This window comes from Homo sapiens, chromosome 7, assembly GCF_000001405.40.
Source record: "Homo sapiens chromosome 7, GRCh38.p14 Primary Assembly".
Classification (NCBI taxonomy): Eukaryota; Metazoa; Chordata; class Mammalia; order Primates; family Hominidae; genus Homo; species Homo sapiens.
The window spans coordinates 69141961-69160819 of record NC_000007.14 but is presented as its reverse complement, the minus strand read 5'-3'; the positions used below and the strand labels follow the sequence as shown (position 1 = coordinate 69160819).

Genomic DNA, 18859 nt, shown 5'->3' with positions numbered 1-18859 from the left:
ATGAGGACTTCTCTTATGACCTAAATTACCTTCCAAAGGCCCCACTTCCTAAAATCATCACACTTGGGGTTAGGATTTCAACATATGGATTTGGGGGTAGGGGGTACAGTCATGCAGTCCATTGCAAGTGGGATCTGAATCACAATTAAGGTCTTGCAAAGATTGGAGATAGGGCCCTAGGGCAGAAAGAATAGCAAGTGCCAAGCCCCTGAGAAATGAAAGAGCTTGGCATATTCATACAAAAGAAAGCAAGCCAGCATGGCTGGGTAGTAGCCATCAGCGGTAGGAAATGGAATTGTAGGGCTCTTTGGGACTAGTTCATGCAGAAATTTTAGGCAATCGTGAGGACTTACTTTGTGTTTTGTCCTAGTTACAATGGAAAACCATTGCATGTATTTGGGCTCTAGGGGACCACCGTGAGCCAATGTGCATTCACAAAAGAATAGAGGTGCCAGGGATATAGTCAAGATGATCTTCTAGAATGCAGGAAATATTGACAGTTTGACTAAGAGTAGTGTGGATGGAGGGAAGTTTATGAATGAAACCTATTTTGGAAATAGAGTCACAGGTGATAGTGATGGGCTTGATGCATGGAGGGAGTGTGTAGAGAAAATAGAAGAATCAAGGGTGATGCTTTGGTTTCTGACTTGAACTGGTGCAGCATTTACTAAGCTGAGGAGAGTGGGAGAGGAAAAAAATCCCTCCCCTTTGTAGGGGAAGCATCCATAGTTCTGTTTCAAGTATGTTAAGGAGTCCTAGAAATCTCATAGATGGCAAACAGTCTGTTGGATATAGGAGTTTGGAACCCAGGAAAAAGGTCAAGGCTTGAGCTAAAAATTTAGGGTTATATAAATAACCTTTAAAGCCAGTAGATAATTGGTGGATGGGGTAGAGATGGAGAAGAACACAGTAGAATTTGGGGTGTTTCCTTATATTATCTTCAGTCCACTGAGATTTCCTCTCTTACTCAACTTCACATGCCCCAGTAACTGTTCTTCCTCTTCCAAATTCCCCCTACTTTTTCTTTGAGACACCCTGTCACCCAGGCTGGAGTGCAGTGGCGTGATCATATATCACTGCAGCCTCCACCTCCTAGGCTGAAGCGATCCTCCCATCTCAGCCTCCCAAGTAGCTGGGGGACTACAGGCACATGCCATCACACCCAGCTAACTTTTAAAATTTTTATAGAAATGGGATATTACTATGTTGCCCAGGCTGGTCTCGAACTCCTGGGCTCAAGCGATCCTCCCACCTTGGCCTCCCAAAGTGCTGGGATTAAAGATGTGAGCCACCATGCCCCACCTCCAGATCCTTCTAATGGGCATTCCCTAAGTTACTGCCATCAGCTCCCCTTTCCACCCCTCGACAAATTCCATGATTCTGGCACAATCTCCTCTATTCATATAGATTCATCTGATCTGTACTGGTGACTTCCCAAGTCGATGAGCCTGCCCTTATCTCTCACCCAACCTTAATTAAATCAAATCCATTCAATTCAAATCCATGTAAGTCAAGAAGCATTTGTTGAACAATGTCCACATATCAGGCAGGTTGGTTGGCCATCAGTGGCTATATAGGATAGTACTACTTTAGTAACTCTAACCCTCAGCCTTAGGGGCTTAGAAGCTTGATTCTCTCAGCATATTAAGTGGAGTAATTTCTCAGGGTGCAAATTAACCCAGCTCACAAGAATCTCTTGTATATAAATCAAAATGTCAATTCACTAATTTACGATGAGAAATACAACTTACAAGAGGAGCAGACATTCACATTTGCCTGATCTGCAAATTTTCTCCATCTAGGGAAACTACATAGAAAGCCAAATTATCAGAAAGTTGCATGGATTATGAGAGATCAGAGCAAGGGGACTTGGTGGCAGATTTGAAAGTTTAATATTATCAGGCAGTGATAGTCCGATGCATTGATGTCCGCAGAGAAATCAAACAAATCATGTGTTTCTGTGGACTTCTTAGGATACCAAAAGAGTGCTCTGATGGGCATTGCCAAAATAAATCTCTCCCATAGTCCCTTTTCTATGTTCTGTGATCACATCTCCCTTTGGTCTAACACATTCTTTCTCTGGATAAGTTAATAAAATAAAATCAGTTAATTTCCACTAAGTCTTATTTTTACCTAGGAACTATTTCATCCCAGTAAGGGTAATGTACATATTTCCGATTTCTTCCTTGATGTGTAGAATAATTCACTTAGCTATTAGAAAGTAGATTCAGGCCGGGCATGGTGGCTCACACCTGTAATCCCAGCACTTTGGGAGGCTGAGGCTTGTGGATCACCTGAGGTTGGGAGTTTGAGACCAGCCTGACCAACATGGAAAAACCCCGTCTCAGTAAAAATACAAAATTAGCCAGGCATGGTGGCTTGCCTGTAATCCCAGCTACTTGGGAGGCTGAGGCAGGAGAATTGCTTGAACTTGGAGGGGGAGGGTGCAGTGAGCTGAGATTGTGCCATTGCACTCCAACCTGGGCAACAAGAGTAAAACTCCATCTCAAAAAAAAAAAAAAGAAAGCAGATTCATTTTCTTCATTTCAAATTCTGTAGCCTCAAGTATCTAGAATAATGTCTTTCAAATAAAAATCTTATGAAATATTTATTGAATGAATGAATCACTGGATTAAATTTTGTCTCTATGTAGCTTGAATGATTAGATAGAAAAAAGTAGATTTTATTTAACATATTTAGTTGACTTTAACAAACACTAAATGGTGGACAAAAGAATTTTTTCTAGTTGACTTGCCCAAAACCGAAGGTTCTACCAATATCACACTGTTCAGAGCAGTTTCACGTCAAGAAGGAGTCCGGAGGGACATTGTCACGACTTCATTCCATATACAACTCAACAAACTATAGCTTTTGACTTCACTTTCTTATTTAGATTTAACTTTAACTCTTCCAAGGCTGAATGGCAGAAATCACTTGTAGCCTGTTATCTACTTTACACTACCCTTCAATCCCAGTATTCTCTTTTCCTCATGTTCACAAAGCAAGGGAATGCGCAAATTAAGACGGTCTGAATGAATGGCCAAGATTCAGATTCTCCATTGTGATAAGGGTCAGGTGAGATCCAGGACACACCTAGTGGGTGGTTCTGTAATTTAATGCTTTTCTGAGGCTATCACCAAATACTTCCACTGATGGGAATTTATTCTGAGAAAATAAAGAAGCAGTTAAAGATTTATATGTAAGGATGTTCCTTATAGCATTATATTATAACAGTTGAAAACAAACACAACTAGAAAAGCATCCAACAGTGATTGGTTAATATGGCGCATTTCATAATTGTGTATTAAGCAGCCATTAAAATCATGCTTTCAGAGAATGTTTAAGGACATGGGAAAATGCTTGCTGTGCACATGGTTATTTTTGTTCACCAACATCCTTTCCTTTTGTTCTGATTGCTGTGATGGGAGCCCTCCTATATTCTACATGGCACTAACACTCACATATCTAGAACTTATACATTTTATTTTATCATTGCTTTTTTAGTGCCAAGACATTTACTGAAAGTTTTCAAATTTTTCAAAAATGTTACAAGAAGTGTGCAAACACAGTGAAACTAATGACAAACGAGACATTGAAAACTAACATCTGGATAAGTCTTAGAATCTATACATTTTAAAATCTAATGTGTGTAGTCTCGCAAATCCCAAAGACCCAAGCATTTTATTCCTGCAGATTTCTCTCTGCTGCTACCAACAGGATACAAGAACAAAGGAAGAGTTAAGCAATGGCCAATCAGTGACTATTCTGGGCCAAGACTTCTTACAGGAGCCCATGGCTGTGCTAGATGATGGGACCAGAGGCTGGACTTCATTCAATATCACAAAGCAGGTGGAATTTAGCAAGGTATTTAACCTGGGTTTTGAAACTTAGGGCTGAGGGTAAGAGGGTCAGGCATCACTCTGTAAGTCTTCTTTGAAGTGTATCGTTCATCAAAAGATAGAAAGTCACATGTTGTATTTCTCTCCTGCTACTCATGTCTCAGCATCAGCACCCCTGGAGGTGTGAGCAGGAATCCTTTGCATACATGGTAGCAGCAACCACAGCAATGGACTGTGTCATTAACACTGATTCCTTCAGAAGATTGTAACATTGGTGATAGTGCCCCAGTTCCTTGCAGGGGAGGACCTCTCCCTTCTTAGCCCATTAAGTTTGGAGGCAGAGACTACTCCTATTGGCTCCAGGAAAGGGCATGTGTCAAAGGTCTGGCCAATCAGAGAGCCATATCATCTGGGACATGGGATTGGCTCAGAGATGAGCAGGTGACTGCTTCAAACCCAATGATATGGGACTTTGGCTAGAACTTGATTTGAAATTTTCTTCAAATCTTCATGATTTCTAGCCATGAGGTCATGAAGACAAACCTGGAGCAGCTCACTGCCATTTTGCCACCATGAAGACAAAGCCAAGGTGAGCTGGAAATCACACAGCAGCAGAGCTGAGGTGGAGAAAGCCCAGGTCTTAGTGGCATAGTGTGAATCTCTGAATTCCACCATGTCTAATTATTTGTTTCTCCCTGAATTTTTAGTAGTGTGAACCAACACATCCCTGAAGTGCCTTAACCCTTCTGCTTAAGGCACTTTGAGTATATTTTCTGTCACAACCAAGAGATTCCTAACTGAATCCTAACTTAGAACCTACACATTTTAAAATCTAATGTGTACAATGTCACAAACCCCAAAGTTCCAAGCATCTTGTTCCTATAGACTTCTCTGTGCTGCTACTTATAAGATACAAGAACAAAGATAATAAAGGCCAATCAGTGACTATTCTGGGCCAAGATTTCTCACAGGAGCCTATGGCTGTGCTAGATGGGCTTCTTATGATGACTAGTTGATGAAAATAGCAGGAGAAAGTAATAAATTGCAAATCATGTGTATATGTGTGAAGAAAATCTACCAACATGTTAACAGTGACTATCTCTGGATTGTGAAGTTGTGAGTTTTTTCTTTAAATACATTCTAGAATATTTCAAATTTCCTAGAAAGATCACATACTAATTTTTTTTTTTTTTTTTTTTTTTTTTTGAGACAGAGTCTCACTCTGTCACCCAGGCTGGAGTGCAATGGCACAATCTGGGCTTATTGCAACCTCTGCCTCCCAGGTTCAAGTGATTCTCCTGCCTCAGCCTCCTGAGTAGCTGGGATTACAGGCCTTTGCCACCATGCCTGGCTAAATTTTGTATTTTTAGTAGTGATGGGGTTTCACCATGTTGGCCAGGCTGGTCTCACACTCCTGGCCTCAAGTGATCCGTCTGCTTTGGCCTGCCAAAGTGCTGGGATTCCAGGAGTGAGCCACCGTGCCCGGCCCACATATTAATTTTAATAACAATGCAAAGGAGATTAAAGAGCTCTTGGTTTTCCTTCTTCAGTGACACAGGCAGAAGGCCATATGGCCTTTTCCATAACATCAGGAGACATTTCACAGATTCCCCTGACAGTTTCAGATGAAGACCAGTGAGCTCAAGTTATAGGAAAGTTATAGGTTAACCTTGTGTTTAGTTAGATAATGGAAGAGGAACCTTGGCCATCGAGTAGCTTAAAGACTAGCATTGGAATTCCTGGCTTTGTGTCTGGGAAACAGAGAACTGGTCTACTGACCCGATGACTGCGGAGTCTTTGCTAATCCCCAAGAGAGGAACTGAGATGGTTGCCCACAGGTGGTGATTCCTGGGAGGCTGAGGCAGAAAGTGATGGGCATCCTGACAGCAGAAAGCAGAAGGACCTTCACGAAACCATCCTACACATCACAAAGGACTCCCATGTCTTTTTGTGGCTGGCCAGCTGACTTTACCACCCAGATTTCACAAAGTCCAGAGGAGAGGGAAGGGGAGAGGAGAGGAGAGGAGGGGAGGGGAGAGGAGGGGAGGGGGAGGGGGAAGGGAGGGGAGCAGGAAGGAAGCAAAGGAGAAGGCCCCTCAGGAGACAGGACTGGTGCTGATGAAAGTCCCGCCTCCTTTCTCCCCCTGAAGTATCCGTGGAAGACTCCACTGTCCCCGGTAGGCAATGAAGTGAATTAAGAGCCCAAGTTTTTAAAAGGGCCTGCAAAACTTTACAGCAGGGACTATGATCACATTTATATGTCTCTACCAAAAAGAAGTTAAATAAATCTGCCTGGGGACATAAAATAATCACCTGCCACCTTTATGTGGATGGGAGGGAATTGACCACTCCGGAGGCCCATATCCCGCCAGCTACCCTCACACAGGCTGGGGCCACAGCGGGGGAATGTTCTCTTCATTCTTCAAATGCCTGTTTTCCCTACACCCCTTTTGCCCACCAGAATGAATTGCCCCTTGTGGACTCACTCCCACATTTTAAGCACATTTCTAGTTATCAGAATGCAGGGAGACTCTCAGGCTTATTGTAGTTATGCCTTTGTGAGTCTATCCTCTCTCTGTCTCCTTGAAGACATTGATATGATTTGATTGTGTCCCTACCCAAGTCTCATCTGAATTGTAGCTCCCATAATTCCCACATGCTGTTGGAGGGAGCCTGTGGGAGATAATTGAATCATGGGGGCAGTTTCCCCCATACTGTTCTCATGGTATTGAATAAGTCTCACGAGAGCTGATGGTTTTATAAGGGGAAACCCCTTTCACTTGGTCTTCATTCTCTCTTGTCTGCCACCAGGTGAGAAGCGCCTTTCACCTTCTGCCTTCCACCATGATTGTGAGGCCTCCCCAGCCACGTGGAACTGTGAGTCTATTAAACCTCTTTTTTCTTTATAAGTTACCCAGTCTCAGGGATGTCTTTATTAGCGCATGAAAACAGACTAATACAGACATCTTCATCTAATCATTCTTTTGAATTTTCTCCTTCTTCGCCCCATTTCTGTCCCATAGTTCAATACCTGCACAGTGTATGTTCTTAATAAATGTGTGTTCAATTTTGAATTCTCACAGCTGGCTCTTTCCAAAGAAATGAATTGGCCAATTGCCTCTCCGTGTGTTCGCCAGAGGATCAGAGAGGGCTGAGCTTCCAGAGCTCAGTAGTGAAGGGGTCTTGAGCCTTGAGCCCTCTGGAGCTCACTCTTCTAGAACCTTGAGGTCTCACGCTGCTGAAGCCTTGGGAATGTGTACTCCAAGCACTGTCTCTTTCTTTACATGATTTTCCCAAATTAAAATGCCCAATAGGTACACAAAACCTCAGACTTTTACTTCAGGCCCTGCTGGAAGGACCCACTTGGAGAAAGGATTGAATAATGAAAAGATTAAGGCTTTGGGGGTCAGATAGCCATGGCCTTGACATCCATACAAAATCAGGCAAGTAACCCAGCCCATAGGAGCCTCAGTTTCCCTATGCATAAACGGGGAGAATACTACCTTTGTCAGGAGGTAGTTGTAAACCTTTAGTAGAAGGATATAGTTTTATCCCAGGCACTGAAGAGAAACTCATCAAATGTTAGTTTTTTCCACTTTTTCTCATATTTTTTTGATTTCCCTATAATTTTCTAGGTTTCCCTGGAATGTTCTCACCTAGGGCATGATGGGTAATGATGACTTAGCTAAGAGCTCAGTCCCTAAAAATATATTGGTTACTTCTAGGAAGGTAAAGTGTCCAAGTCAGGAAGCTTATGGTGGTGTCGGTGGCAGGCATTTCAATGACCTGGGAGGCAGCCAGGAGACAGCACCCAGCAGACAGCGAATTCTGTGAACCTTATGTCAACAATGCGCAGAGGTTGCCCCAACCCTGCATGGTAGGGAGGACCAGTTCTTTTCACAAAGGCATCACAGTTTCCAACGTGAACTTAGCAGCCATTTCCGTAGCCACAAGGAGAGACAAATTCCCCACTCCACTCGCCGGTCCTCACAGGGAAAGGTTTCTATCCATCCAGTGAGGATATTGCCAAACCAATGATGAACGCCTGACCAGCAAAAGTCTTATAATCAGTTACTCAGTGCTTCAGAAGGAGCTTGCTTTCTCTAAGTAAATCCAGGAGGGGAAGACAATTCGGGAGCCATGAACAAGCCCCCTGAAATGTCGGCCCTCCAGAAAGGAAGCAGAAGCAGTCTAGGCGGCTTAACTTCAGCCACAGTAGAACAGGAGGTGACATTTACAATGTTGGTTTACAGCCCAGAGGGCCAGTGGATCTGGGAGGGTCTCCCAGTGCCTGGACAAAGTGAGCGGGGGCTGGGATTTCCACAGGCATCCTTGGACTTTCAGCAGTAGATCCTGAGGCTGTGTGGGCTAAGGACAAGGAACCCACAGGAAAGGGCAGATGTGAGGGTGATGGGATACACTGTATTTGGAACCTAGAAGTCAAAGTGCACTTAAATGAGACCCAAATTGATGTCTCACCCATTTCTTTTTTAAAAAAATTTTTTATTTCCATAGATTATTGGGGAACAGGTGGTATTTGGGTACGTGAGTAAGTTTTTCAGTGATGATCTGTGAGATTTGGTGCACCCATCACCGAAGCAGTATATGCTGCACCCAATTTGTAGTCTTTTATCCCTCACCCCCTTCTCACTCTCCCCTCTGAGTCCCCAAAGTCCATTGTGTCATTCTTATGCCTTTGCATCCTCATAGCTTAGCACCCACTTATGAGTGAGAACATATGATGTTTGGTTTTCCATTCCTGAATTATTTCACTTAGAATAATAGTCTCCAATCTCATCCAGGTTGCTGTGAATGCCATTAATTCATTCCTTATTATGGGTGAGTAGTATTCCATCATATATATATATATCACAGTTTCTTTATCCACTCGAAATGCCCATCAATCATCCGTTTCTTTTTAAATGGGTTTGTAGAACTAGGATCTGTCTTAGATCAGCATTGGCCTATAATGGTCAGAGGAAGGAAAGGCCAGCTACTCTCCTCACCTTCATCAGCATAACCTTCCTCTGTGACCCCACCTGCTCAACAGATACACTTTCCTCCATTCATCCAGGGAGCAATCATCAGACGTCTGGGCTGAGGCAGGCCACATGCTGGGGTGGTTGTTCCCAAACTCAAGGTTCATGGATTTTGCCAGGCTGGTAGCAAAAGAAAACAGCTTTGGAAACTTAAAAACACCAATTCCTGGGCTTCTCCATAGGTCTAGTTGAATTACAAATAATCCGTATTTTTTTAAAAGTACTCATTTGAATGTCCCCATATTAGGAGTACAAGAAAGAGTGACCAGCGGTTGGGCATGGTGGTTCATGCCTGTAATTCCAGTGCTTTGGGAGGCTAAGGCAGGAGGATCACTTGAGGCCAGGAGTTTGAGACTAACCTGGATAACATAGTGAGACCTTGTCCCTAAAAAATTTTTTTTAAAATTAGCTGGGCATGGTGGCAGTCCCAGCTGCTTGGGAGGCTGAGAGCGGAAGGATCCCTTGAGCCCAGGAGATCCAAGCTGCAGTGAGCTATGATCACACCGTTGCACTCCAGCTGGGGTAACAGAGTGAGACCCTGTCTCTATTGAAAAGAAAAAAAAAAAAAAGAAGAAGAAAGGATGACCAGAACTCTAAGCAAGTAATTAGAATATGAGGTAAGGGCTGTGATTAAAGCATGTACAATGTGCTTGGAGGCCACAGAGAAGGATTGCTAGACCTTCTCTGGAGGTGTAAGCAATCATCTCCAAAGAAGTGATATTTGAGCTGGGTATTCGATAATGGGAGCACATTTTCCAGGTGGTCAAGAAGGTAAAGGACATTTCAAGGCAGAGGGAATAGTGTGGGCACCAGGGAGGGCTTGTATGTCTGAGAAGTTGTGGTGGTTTAGTGGTGTTGGGTTGAAACGTGGATCTCATCTTGGGAGAGTAGGTAGTGAGAGCTGAGGCCAGGGGGGTCAAGGCTGGATCACAAAGAGTATTGCATGCAAGGCAAGCCAGCAGCTTGGATTCTATTCCCTGGGCCACTGGGTACCACTGATGTGTATGAGACAAGGGAGCCACAAAGTCAGATGTACACTTTAGTTATTTATTTGAGACAGGGTCTTACTCCAGCCCCCAGGCTGGAGTGCAGTGGTGTGATTATAGCTCACTGCAGCCTTGAACTCCTGGGCTCAAGAGATCCTCCTGCTTCAGCTTCCCCCTTGGGTTGGAAGGCATCAAACAGACAGAGAAAGGAATTAGGGCTAGAAAGGACATGGGTCCAAGCTTGTGTTAAGGCTTACCACAGTGGGGATGGAGCAGTGGGGACAGCTTGCAGAGATGTTAATACCTCCATTTCCTAAACACGTGTCAGGCACTCACGTGTTCCTGACCAGGAAGCCACCCCTCCACTGTCTCCAGTCTGCATATGGCAGGGCATGACCTCCAAATGGGCCACGATTGCTAAATTAAGTATCATGAACCACTGCCATCATTAATGCAAACACACAGGACAGCTTTAGAAATCCTGGCAATGCTTTCCGGCAAATGTAATGAAAAAATTAATTGAATAATCATTCCATGTAAATAGATTTCATGTGAGCTCTCCTTTTGGTAGGAGGGAAGGGAGAAAAGGTGGGAGAATCCTGTGATATATGGCTTTGAGTAGTATAATGAATTAGGCCGGGTGCCCCACAGTGAGTCTGAGCCTGCCTCGGCCTGCATTATGAGGTGGTTAGACCATTTTGAGCAGCGTGGCTCAGGTGACCTAATGCAGGCATGAGAGATGGAGGTCATTAAAATCTGCCACACTGTAGGAACTCTCTTTAAAAAGAGACTCAAAGGCTGGCTTCGCAGAGTAGCGGCATTTCTCTTTGGGATACAAGGTATTCTATCACTTAGGGAAAACTGAAAACCAAAGCGATAATGATGGGAAATAAATTGATGGCCTCAAAAGGGAGGGTTGGAGAGGGAGGAGGGAGATAGGGGAGCTACCTACAACCCGTGGCAAAGGCTCCTGTAAAGGAAATGATGAATTGGTTAATATCAAGTAGGAAATATTGACTCATGGGCGTGAGACTCAAAATTACAATTTCTGAATCTGCACTGCCAATGTAGTCCAAGGGAGAGAAAAACTGGGAGTTAGAGGCTAAGCTATTAATCCTAGTTTAAGACACTTGAACATGCCCCTTCACTTCTGCTAAGCCTTTGTTTCCTAGTATGCAAAATGAATACCTATTGCAATAGGTAATTTTGAGTGTCAAGTGTGATTATATATTGGCTGTGATTATATAGAAGCTGTGGGTGTATGTATTCCTATGCATTTGCTCACAGGAAATTGTGAGCTCAACCTGGAAGACAGAGGAAGACATGTTCTTACCTTTCTGCTGGATGAGAATACCAAGGGCCTGAACAGAATGGCTGAAACCTAGCCTGGACTATTCTTTGGAAGCCCCATACCTGGTGGACTCAGTATTCAATGCTCTATGCTCTGAGAAATAGACAATATCATACTGAAGTGTTCTGATGTTTTTTTGGGGGAACCCAATGATTAGATCTTAAATTTGAAGGGATGTATTCCACTGCCAACCAGCTTGGGGTGAGAAGGACAGATTGGAGTGGGAGACCACAGACTTTACTTGTGCCTCAGAGAACTATGTCCTGGATGTTGAGTGGAGGAGCTACCTTCCTGGGTATTGCTGCTGTTGGGAGAGAGGCTGACTCTTACAACCTGGTGGCATTCCAGGACCTTGGGAATGAGAGTTCTACTCTTCAGGGGCCAAGTCTGTGCATCTGAGAACAGCTACAGCTAGTCTATAGAGGGAAGTTGTCAGCATTGTCATTCTCTTGTTAATTCCAAGCCTTTCTCGAAGTCCATCAAGCATTATAGTCTGGCCTGGCTTCCACTGTGGGGAAGAATGGTGAAGAAGCATGGCCACACCTGCGGTGATTCAGGGAACAGCAGCAACTTAAGAGAAACAGTGGAGAGGCAGCTGCCACCTTCTTGACTGTATCACTTGAATTCCTGATAGTAGACTGTATTTTCCAAAGATAGAGCAATCTCTCCCCTCCCGCAGCCTCTTCCAACATGTGACCTTGACAACCCTTTCATTTAATGATGTGTTCCCTGTCTCCTAGCCTGGAGCCTAGGAAGAGCTTTGCAATTGCCTCTGTCAGAGGCGTCTGAACCAGAGCAACTCCATCTTGAATAGGAGCTGGGTAAAATGAGGCTGAGACCTACTGGGCTGCATTCCCAGACAGGTAAGGCATTCTAAGTCACAGAATGAAATAGGAGGTCAGCTCAAGATACAGGTCATAAAAACCTTGCTGATAAAACAGTTTGCAGTAAAGAAGCTGGCTAAGACCCAACAAAACCAAGATGGCAATAAGAGTGACCTCTGGTCATCCTTGTTGCTACACTCCCATCAGCACCATGACAGTTTACAAATGCCATGACAATGTCAGGAAGTTACCCTATATGGTCTAAAAAGGGAGGCATGAAAAATCCACCCGTTGTTTAGCATATCATCAAGAAATAACCATAAAAATGGGCAACCAGCAGCCCTCAGGTCTGCTCTGTCTATGGAGTAGCATTCTTTTTTTTTTTTTTTTTTTTTTTTTTGAGATGGAGTCTTGCTCTCTCGCCCAGGCTGGAGTGCAATGGCACAACCTTGGCTCACTGCAAGCTCCGCCCTGGGTTCAAGTGATTCTCCTGCCTCAGCCTCCTGAGTAGTTGGGACTACAGGCGCCTGCCACCACGCCAAGCTAATTTTTTTCTGTTTTTAGTAGAGATGGGGTTTCACCATGTTGGCCAGGCTGATCTCGAACTTCTGACCTCAGGTCACCCACCCACCTCGGCCTCCCAAAGTGCTGGGATTACAGGCATGAGCCATCGTGCCTGGCCGCCGTTCTTTTATTCTTCTACTTTCTTGATAAACTTGTTTTTGCTTTGCACTGTGGACTCACCCTGAATTCTTTCTTGTGTGAGATCCAAGAACCCTCACTCAGGGTCTTGGGATTGGGATCGGGAGCCATTTCCTGTAACACCTCCACCAATAGAGGATGGTGGAAATGATGCCATATGATTTCTCAAGTAGGTCATTAAAATGTCCTTCACTTCTGCTTTGTTCTCTTGAGATATTTGCTCTTGGAATGCAGCCACCATGCAATGAGAAAACCCAGGCCATGTGGGGAGGTCACATGGTGATGTCCTAGCCAACAGATTCATCTGAGGTCCTAGTCAGTATCAACCCCCAGATTTCTTCAAATGGTTTCAGCCTCTAGCTGTCATGTCACTCACAGCCTTCGAGGCTTTCTAGCTGAGGCCCCAGACATTGTAGAACAGAGACAAGCTGTTCTCCAGTGTCCTTCTTAAATTTCAGACCTACAGAATCCATGAGCATAATGCAATGGCTGTTTTATGTCACTAAGTTTTGGATTGGCTCATTATACTGATCCAAATAGCTGGAACATGTTCATGCTTACTTTCCAGGTGAGGTTCTCCGGAAACCTCAACTCAGAAATACCACTCTTTTTGAGACAGGGTCTTGCTGTGTCACCCAGGCTGGAGTGCACTGGCACCATCATAGCTCACTGCAGCCTTGAATTCCTGGGCTCAAGCCGTCCTCCTGCCTCAGCCTCTCAAATAGCCGCATCTACAGGCGATCACCACCATGCTTGGCTAATATATTTTTTTTTATTTTTGTGTAAGACAGGGTCTCTCTATCTTGCCCAGTCTTGTCTCGAGCTCCTGGCCTCAAGTGATTCTCCTGCCTCGGTCTCCCAAAGTGCTGGGCTTACAGGCATGAGCCACCACACCTGGCCCAGGGCTGTTCATCTTATCAAAGATGTACTGCCTCAAAGCACAAGGAAACAACTTTACAGTGAAAGATATTTTTAAAAACATGTAGCAATCTATTTTGCTTGAAATGAGACTCTGTTTTTACCAGGACCCAGAACTCCATTGAACTATAAACCAGAACTAACCACATTAATTTCCTGAACCTAGGCAGAACCAATTCCAAGTATCGCTTTTATTTTTAGTGAACCATAAACCGAATCAAAGTTGTTTAAAACATTATGAATATAAGTATTCCATTCAAATTACAACCAAACCAATGTATCTTGTAAAATAATTTTTGCCATGTTAAAAATTATGCTATAAAAATATTTTGCTGTTCTCTAAAATGAATCTGAAAAAAAAAACCTCATAAGTAAATAAATAAATATGTCGTTTGTTCAAGCCCTTTGGGATACATACTAATTCAATCCAAATTGATTGGTAAGATGGTAAGAAATACATTATTTATATGAACTGAGGGAGGACATGTCACTTCACACACCAGTTCCCAATAAGCCCTAAGCACTTTTCTATCAAAGGGGCTGTACAAATTATTGTTATAAATCACATGATACATTAGAAAGAGTCAGGATTTTAGAGTCTCCCAGACTGGGATTATTATCACAACCCATTTACTCTGAGACCTCAGAGAATGTATAAGACTTCTCTTGGTTCATTTTGTCATTAGTAAAATGGAAAAGAAAATATGCCGACTTCATAGTGTTTGTTTGTGTGTGCACAGCTGTAGGTATATGTGTTTGAGAGAGAGAAAGAGGGAGAGAGAATGAGGGAGAGAGAGAGAAAAAAAGAAGAGGGAGGAAGGAGGAGGGAGAGAGATACAGGGAGGAAGAGAGGGAGGGAGAGAGGGGGAGAGAGAGGGAGAAAAGGAAGGAGGAAGAGAGAGAAAGAGAGAGCATTTGTTGCAGAGATGGCTAGTTTTGCCCTAAAACATGCACTTCCCTTTATGTAATGTACAGTTGTTTCTGGGTGGCGTCTAACCAGGTGATGCATTTGCTGGTTCTCATCTTGTATCCAGGTGAGGCTGGAACTAGGCTCACCACGTGGACAGGCGTGATCTGTGTACATATGAGCCAACACATTTAGACGACTGGATGCCTCCTCCACGTCTTCTTCTCTTGCCTGCCAACTGGGAGAAAACCGAAGAAGACTCCAGGATCCTGGGAGATACAGGTGGAGGCCACAGATGGAAAAAAAACCAAGTCCTGGATTCACTGTATGGAAAAAATATGTGCATTAACCAGGAACATCTACAGTAGATAATTAGAGGAGAGGGTGATGATCCACGGAGACTTGGGGGGTTTATTTGTTAGAGCAGCTAACGTTACCCTAACTATTACAGAGTCAGAGGAAATAATGTATATAGAATGATAAGTCCAGTGTCTGGGAGATAGCCATGCTCAGTAAATGTTTTTGTTTGTCCCTTTGAATGAATGGAGGGTATCTACCTATCTTCCACCTATTCAGGATCTCACATGAGGCAGCACATTTAGCACACTTGTGTAGTTGTAATCTTCCATGCTTATCTTTGTGAGTCTGTTTGAAAAGTTGGATAAATAGCAATGACTGACCACATTTGCTTGTATAAAGCACACGTCTCCTTTCAAATTTCATGTTAGTATTGATATTTGTGCTGTATATTTAGCATCATTGAAAAAGGAGAACGAATTTATGAAAAAGACATAAATGTTCCCATAGAAACACTCATATCCAGCCTGGGCAACATAGTGAGACCCCGAGGTGATTATATTGCTTGAGCTCAGGAGTTCAAGACCAGCCTGGGCAACACAGCAAGACCCTGTCTGTCTCTACAAAAAATACAAACATTAGCCAAGCATGGTGGCCGGCATGCCTCTAGTCTCAGCTACTCAGGTGACTGAGCTGGGAGGATCCCTTGAGCCCAGGAGATGGAGGCTGCAGTGAGCTATGATGGAGCTACTGTACTCTAGTCTGGGCAACAGAGTGAGATCCCACTTCAAAAAAAAAAAAAAAGAAAGAAAATAAAAAGAAAAACTCATGTCTTGTGGTTTATTAAAGAACCAACAAACATCACAAGACCTCTCTGTTCCTAATCATGAGGTGGCAACATTCGATATAGAAGAGAATGGCCACTAGGGCTATATAATATCCTCCTGTGTTTCTGTCTATTAATTAAAATTCTAATCATTAAAGAAAATATTTCATGTAAAAATATTTTATTTTAGGCCAGGCACCATGGCTCACTCCTGTGTAATCACAGCACTCTGGGAGGCCGAGCTGGGAGGATCACTTGATGTCAGGAGTTCGAGACCAGCCTGGGTAACATGGTGAAACCCTGTCTCTACTAAAAATACAAAAATTAGTAGGGCATGGTGGCTCGCACCTGTAGTCCCAGCTACTCGAGGGGCTGAGGTGGGAGGATCACTTGAGCCTGAGAGATTGAGGCTGCAGTGAGCTAAGATCGTACCACTGCACTCCAGCCTAGGTGACAGAGCGAGATTCCGTCTTCCAAAAAAAAAGCCATAATAGTAACTTCATTTGCTTTTCTTTTTTTGAAATCTAGTGATTCAGGACCATAAGATGTGACATAATACCTAGTGGACTAGCAAAGTTTTTAATTTTCTATTATATCTCTGTTTTATATCACCCTTATGTGTGATGAGAGAAATTACTTTCAAACATTCTGATTTTATACAATTAATTTTTTTTCTTGTTAATAAAATCTGAGGAAGCCACCCAGCTGTCAGAAAATAAGCTATTATATTTGAGTGTTAAAATGCTTTAATTTGTGATGACAATCTGCCTTGAAGCATGGTGCCACTCCTTCCCCCTTAGCTCATATTTTGTTGAACGAGACTTTGCTTGAAAACAGATTCTTCAGTGTTCCCTTTCTGGCTACAGGACAAAAGTATGTTTGTGGCATGCTCAAGTAGAAAGCTCTTTTGCAGAAGTTGAAGCTGAGTCTTTGTTTTGTACATAATCTATTGCTTAGTTCTCTAATGGATTTAGTGTGAGGGTGGGACTGGGGAAGGGGTGGGCTGGAGTACTGTGTGAGTGGTCAGCGTTGGTTTGGGCTCATGGCCCATAAAACTAGGAGGGCAGTTTCTAAAGGTGGCAGCACAAAGTGACAAAGATAAAACCCATTTTTTTTAGGGTCCCGTTCTGTCACTCAGGATGGAGTGCAGTGGTGTGATTCTAGCTCACTGCATCCTCCAACTCTTGGTCTCAAGCGGTCCTCCTGCTCCAGACTCCTGAGTAGCTGGGACTACAGGCGTGTACCACCATTCTCAGATAATTTTTATATTTTTTTAGAGATGGGGTCTCACTATGTTGCCCAGGCTGGTCTCAAACTCCTGGCCTCAAGTGATCCTCCTGCCTTGACCTCCCAAAGCACTGGAATTACAGGTGTGAGCCACTGCTCCCAGCCAAAACTCACTTTTAAAGAATAGTGTCTTAAGCTTCAGGGCTTAAAGCTCAACACGTTATTGGGGAGTGCCATCCCAGGGTAGCAGGAGTCAGCCCAAAAGGAGGGAGAGCAAATATAAGGACATGTATTGCCCACTTTGCACAACGTCAATGGTGATATCTCAGTTTCTCGGGTTGTCTTCAGAGAGGCCACGTTGCCAAGAGGGAAAGGGATGAAAGAAATGATCTATTGACATCTGTCTTCCACTGTTCAAAGTTTACCCAGAATTTCCAGGCTAAGTGCTTAGTGGGTCCTGAGGCATCCTGTACCCCAACAGCAATGTGGGAGCCCTGGAATGACAGAGAAAGAGGTACAGGGCACAGGTATGAGGCAAGATGCTCTTTGGCCATTCCTGCTAGTGACAGTAGTACCTGCCACAGTGCTGCCAGGTCTGTAGAGGCAGTGATAGCTTGCAACAGAAACTTCCAGGACCACGGGAACTTCAAGTCATGCCCAGGGCTGCCTCAGCCAAGAAACAAGGCAATGCTATGACTCCAGGGCCAATAGCAAGTCTGCAGGGATTGGAGTTTTCAACGAAAGCTTCTGTAACGGTACATTAAAATTAAATTTTGCTGAGGCATATCCTAAATGGTGAGATGTGAGACCACCCCGATGCAGGATATAAGCTCTGGTCCCTGGTCCTTCCAAGTCTTGCCTTTTCCATAGTTCCCCGCTGGTTGTTACAGAGTGCAATACTGGCTTCAATAGGCACCATCATAGCAGAAGAAGGTGGGTCATTTACAAGCCACATTTCCAGTTTCCAGTGGATTGGGCATGGAAGTTTAATTGCATTCACTAAGCTTGTGCTGAATGTGGACAGGTGGGGTCACAGGGTGGGGTTGGGTAGGAAAAGACCATGGCTGTATTGTGTTCCTGTCCTTCTTTCTTGTCCACTGCCCATGACTACCAGACATAACAGGATTAAGTAGCATCTTAGAAGTGCCCTTGGATACTGGGGCATAGCTCTTTCCTTCTATGTGTGCTAGAAGAGCCGTCTTGAGATCTCAGTCTCCTGTGCCTACCAGCTCCCTCTTCATTCCAAGGCTAAACATTCGTTTTCAGTTCTGACACTCCAAAACCACCTGCTCTTCACTTTTTCCAGGTTTCTGAGGCAAAAAGCAAGCAGCTTTTTGACGGGGGAGCGAGGTGGGAATTGAGGGTTTGCCATGAGTGCCCTGGAGACATTAAAGGGGGAATTTTAGCCCAAGTGAGGGGTGAAACTTGTAGCTCAGAGAACTACAGAACTACAGCCTGGGACGCTTTGAACATCTGCTCCAGAAAGATTTTGGGGACTTTTTAGATTCACTTTGGGTTTCATGGGAAAACTCAGGGGATGGAAGATCTTAATTTCTTATCTGGGCCACTTAACATCTCATTGACTCTTCGCATCTTTAACGTGAAACTCAACTTTTCCCAAGTGTTGGGTCGAAGTTCCTTAAACATCAATGCCTTACTCTGTTGTTTTAGGGAACTTACATGCTGTTTATGAGATCGAATGACTGATTCTCTTGAAGTTTGAAGTATCTGGTTACGCAGTTTTCCCTGAATCTCCAATTATCAGATTTGGTAGCAGATAATCTCCAGTCATCAGATTTGGTAGCTGAAGATCTTAGCTTTATAGGCTATGAATAACTTTACTGTAAGTGATGAATAGGAATAAAAGAAAAAAACTTACAAAACCAAAAGCTTATATACTTATTTGGGGGCATTTCTGTGAGTTTGTTCTTTGTTATTGGATA

General features: G+C 43.7%; 1 long non-coding RNA gene across 1 annotated transcript in view; it reads left to right on the top strand.

The window, feature by feature from the left end:
- The first annotated feature begins 10616 nt into the window (after positions 1–10616).
- Positions 10617–18859, top strand: part of LOC105375343 (uncharacterized) — a 34334-nt gene continuing 26091 nt past the window's right edge. Inside the window, exons 1-2 of the long non-coding RNA XR_927647.1 lie at positions 10617–10703; positions 14694–14848. This is a non-coding gene — a long non-coding RNA (uncharacterized LOC105375343). The remainder of the gene's footprint in view (positions 10704–14693; positions 14849–18859) is intronic.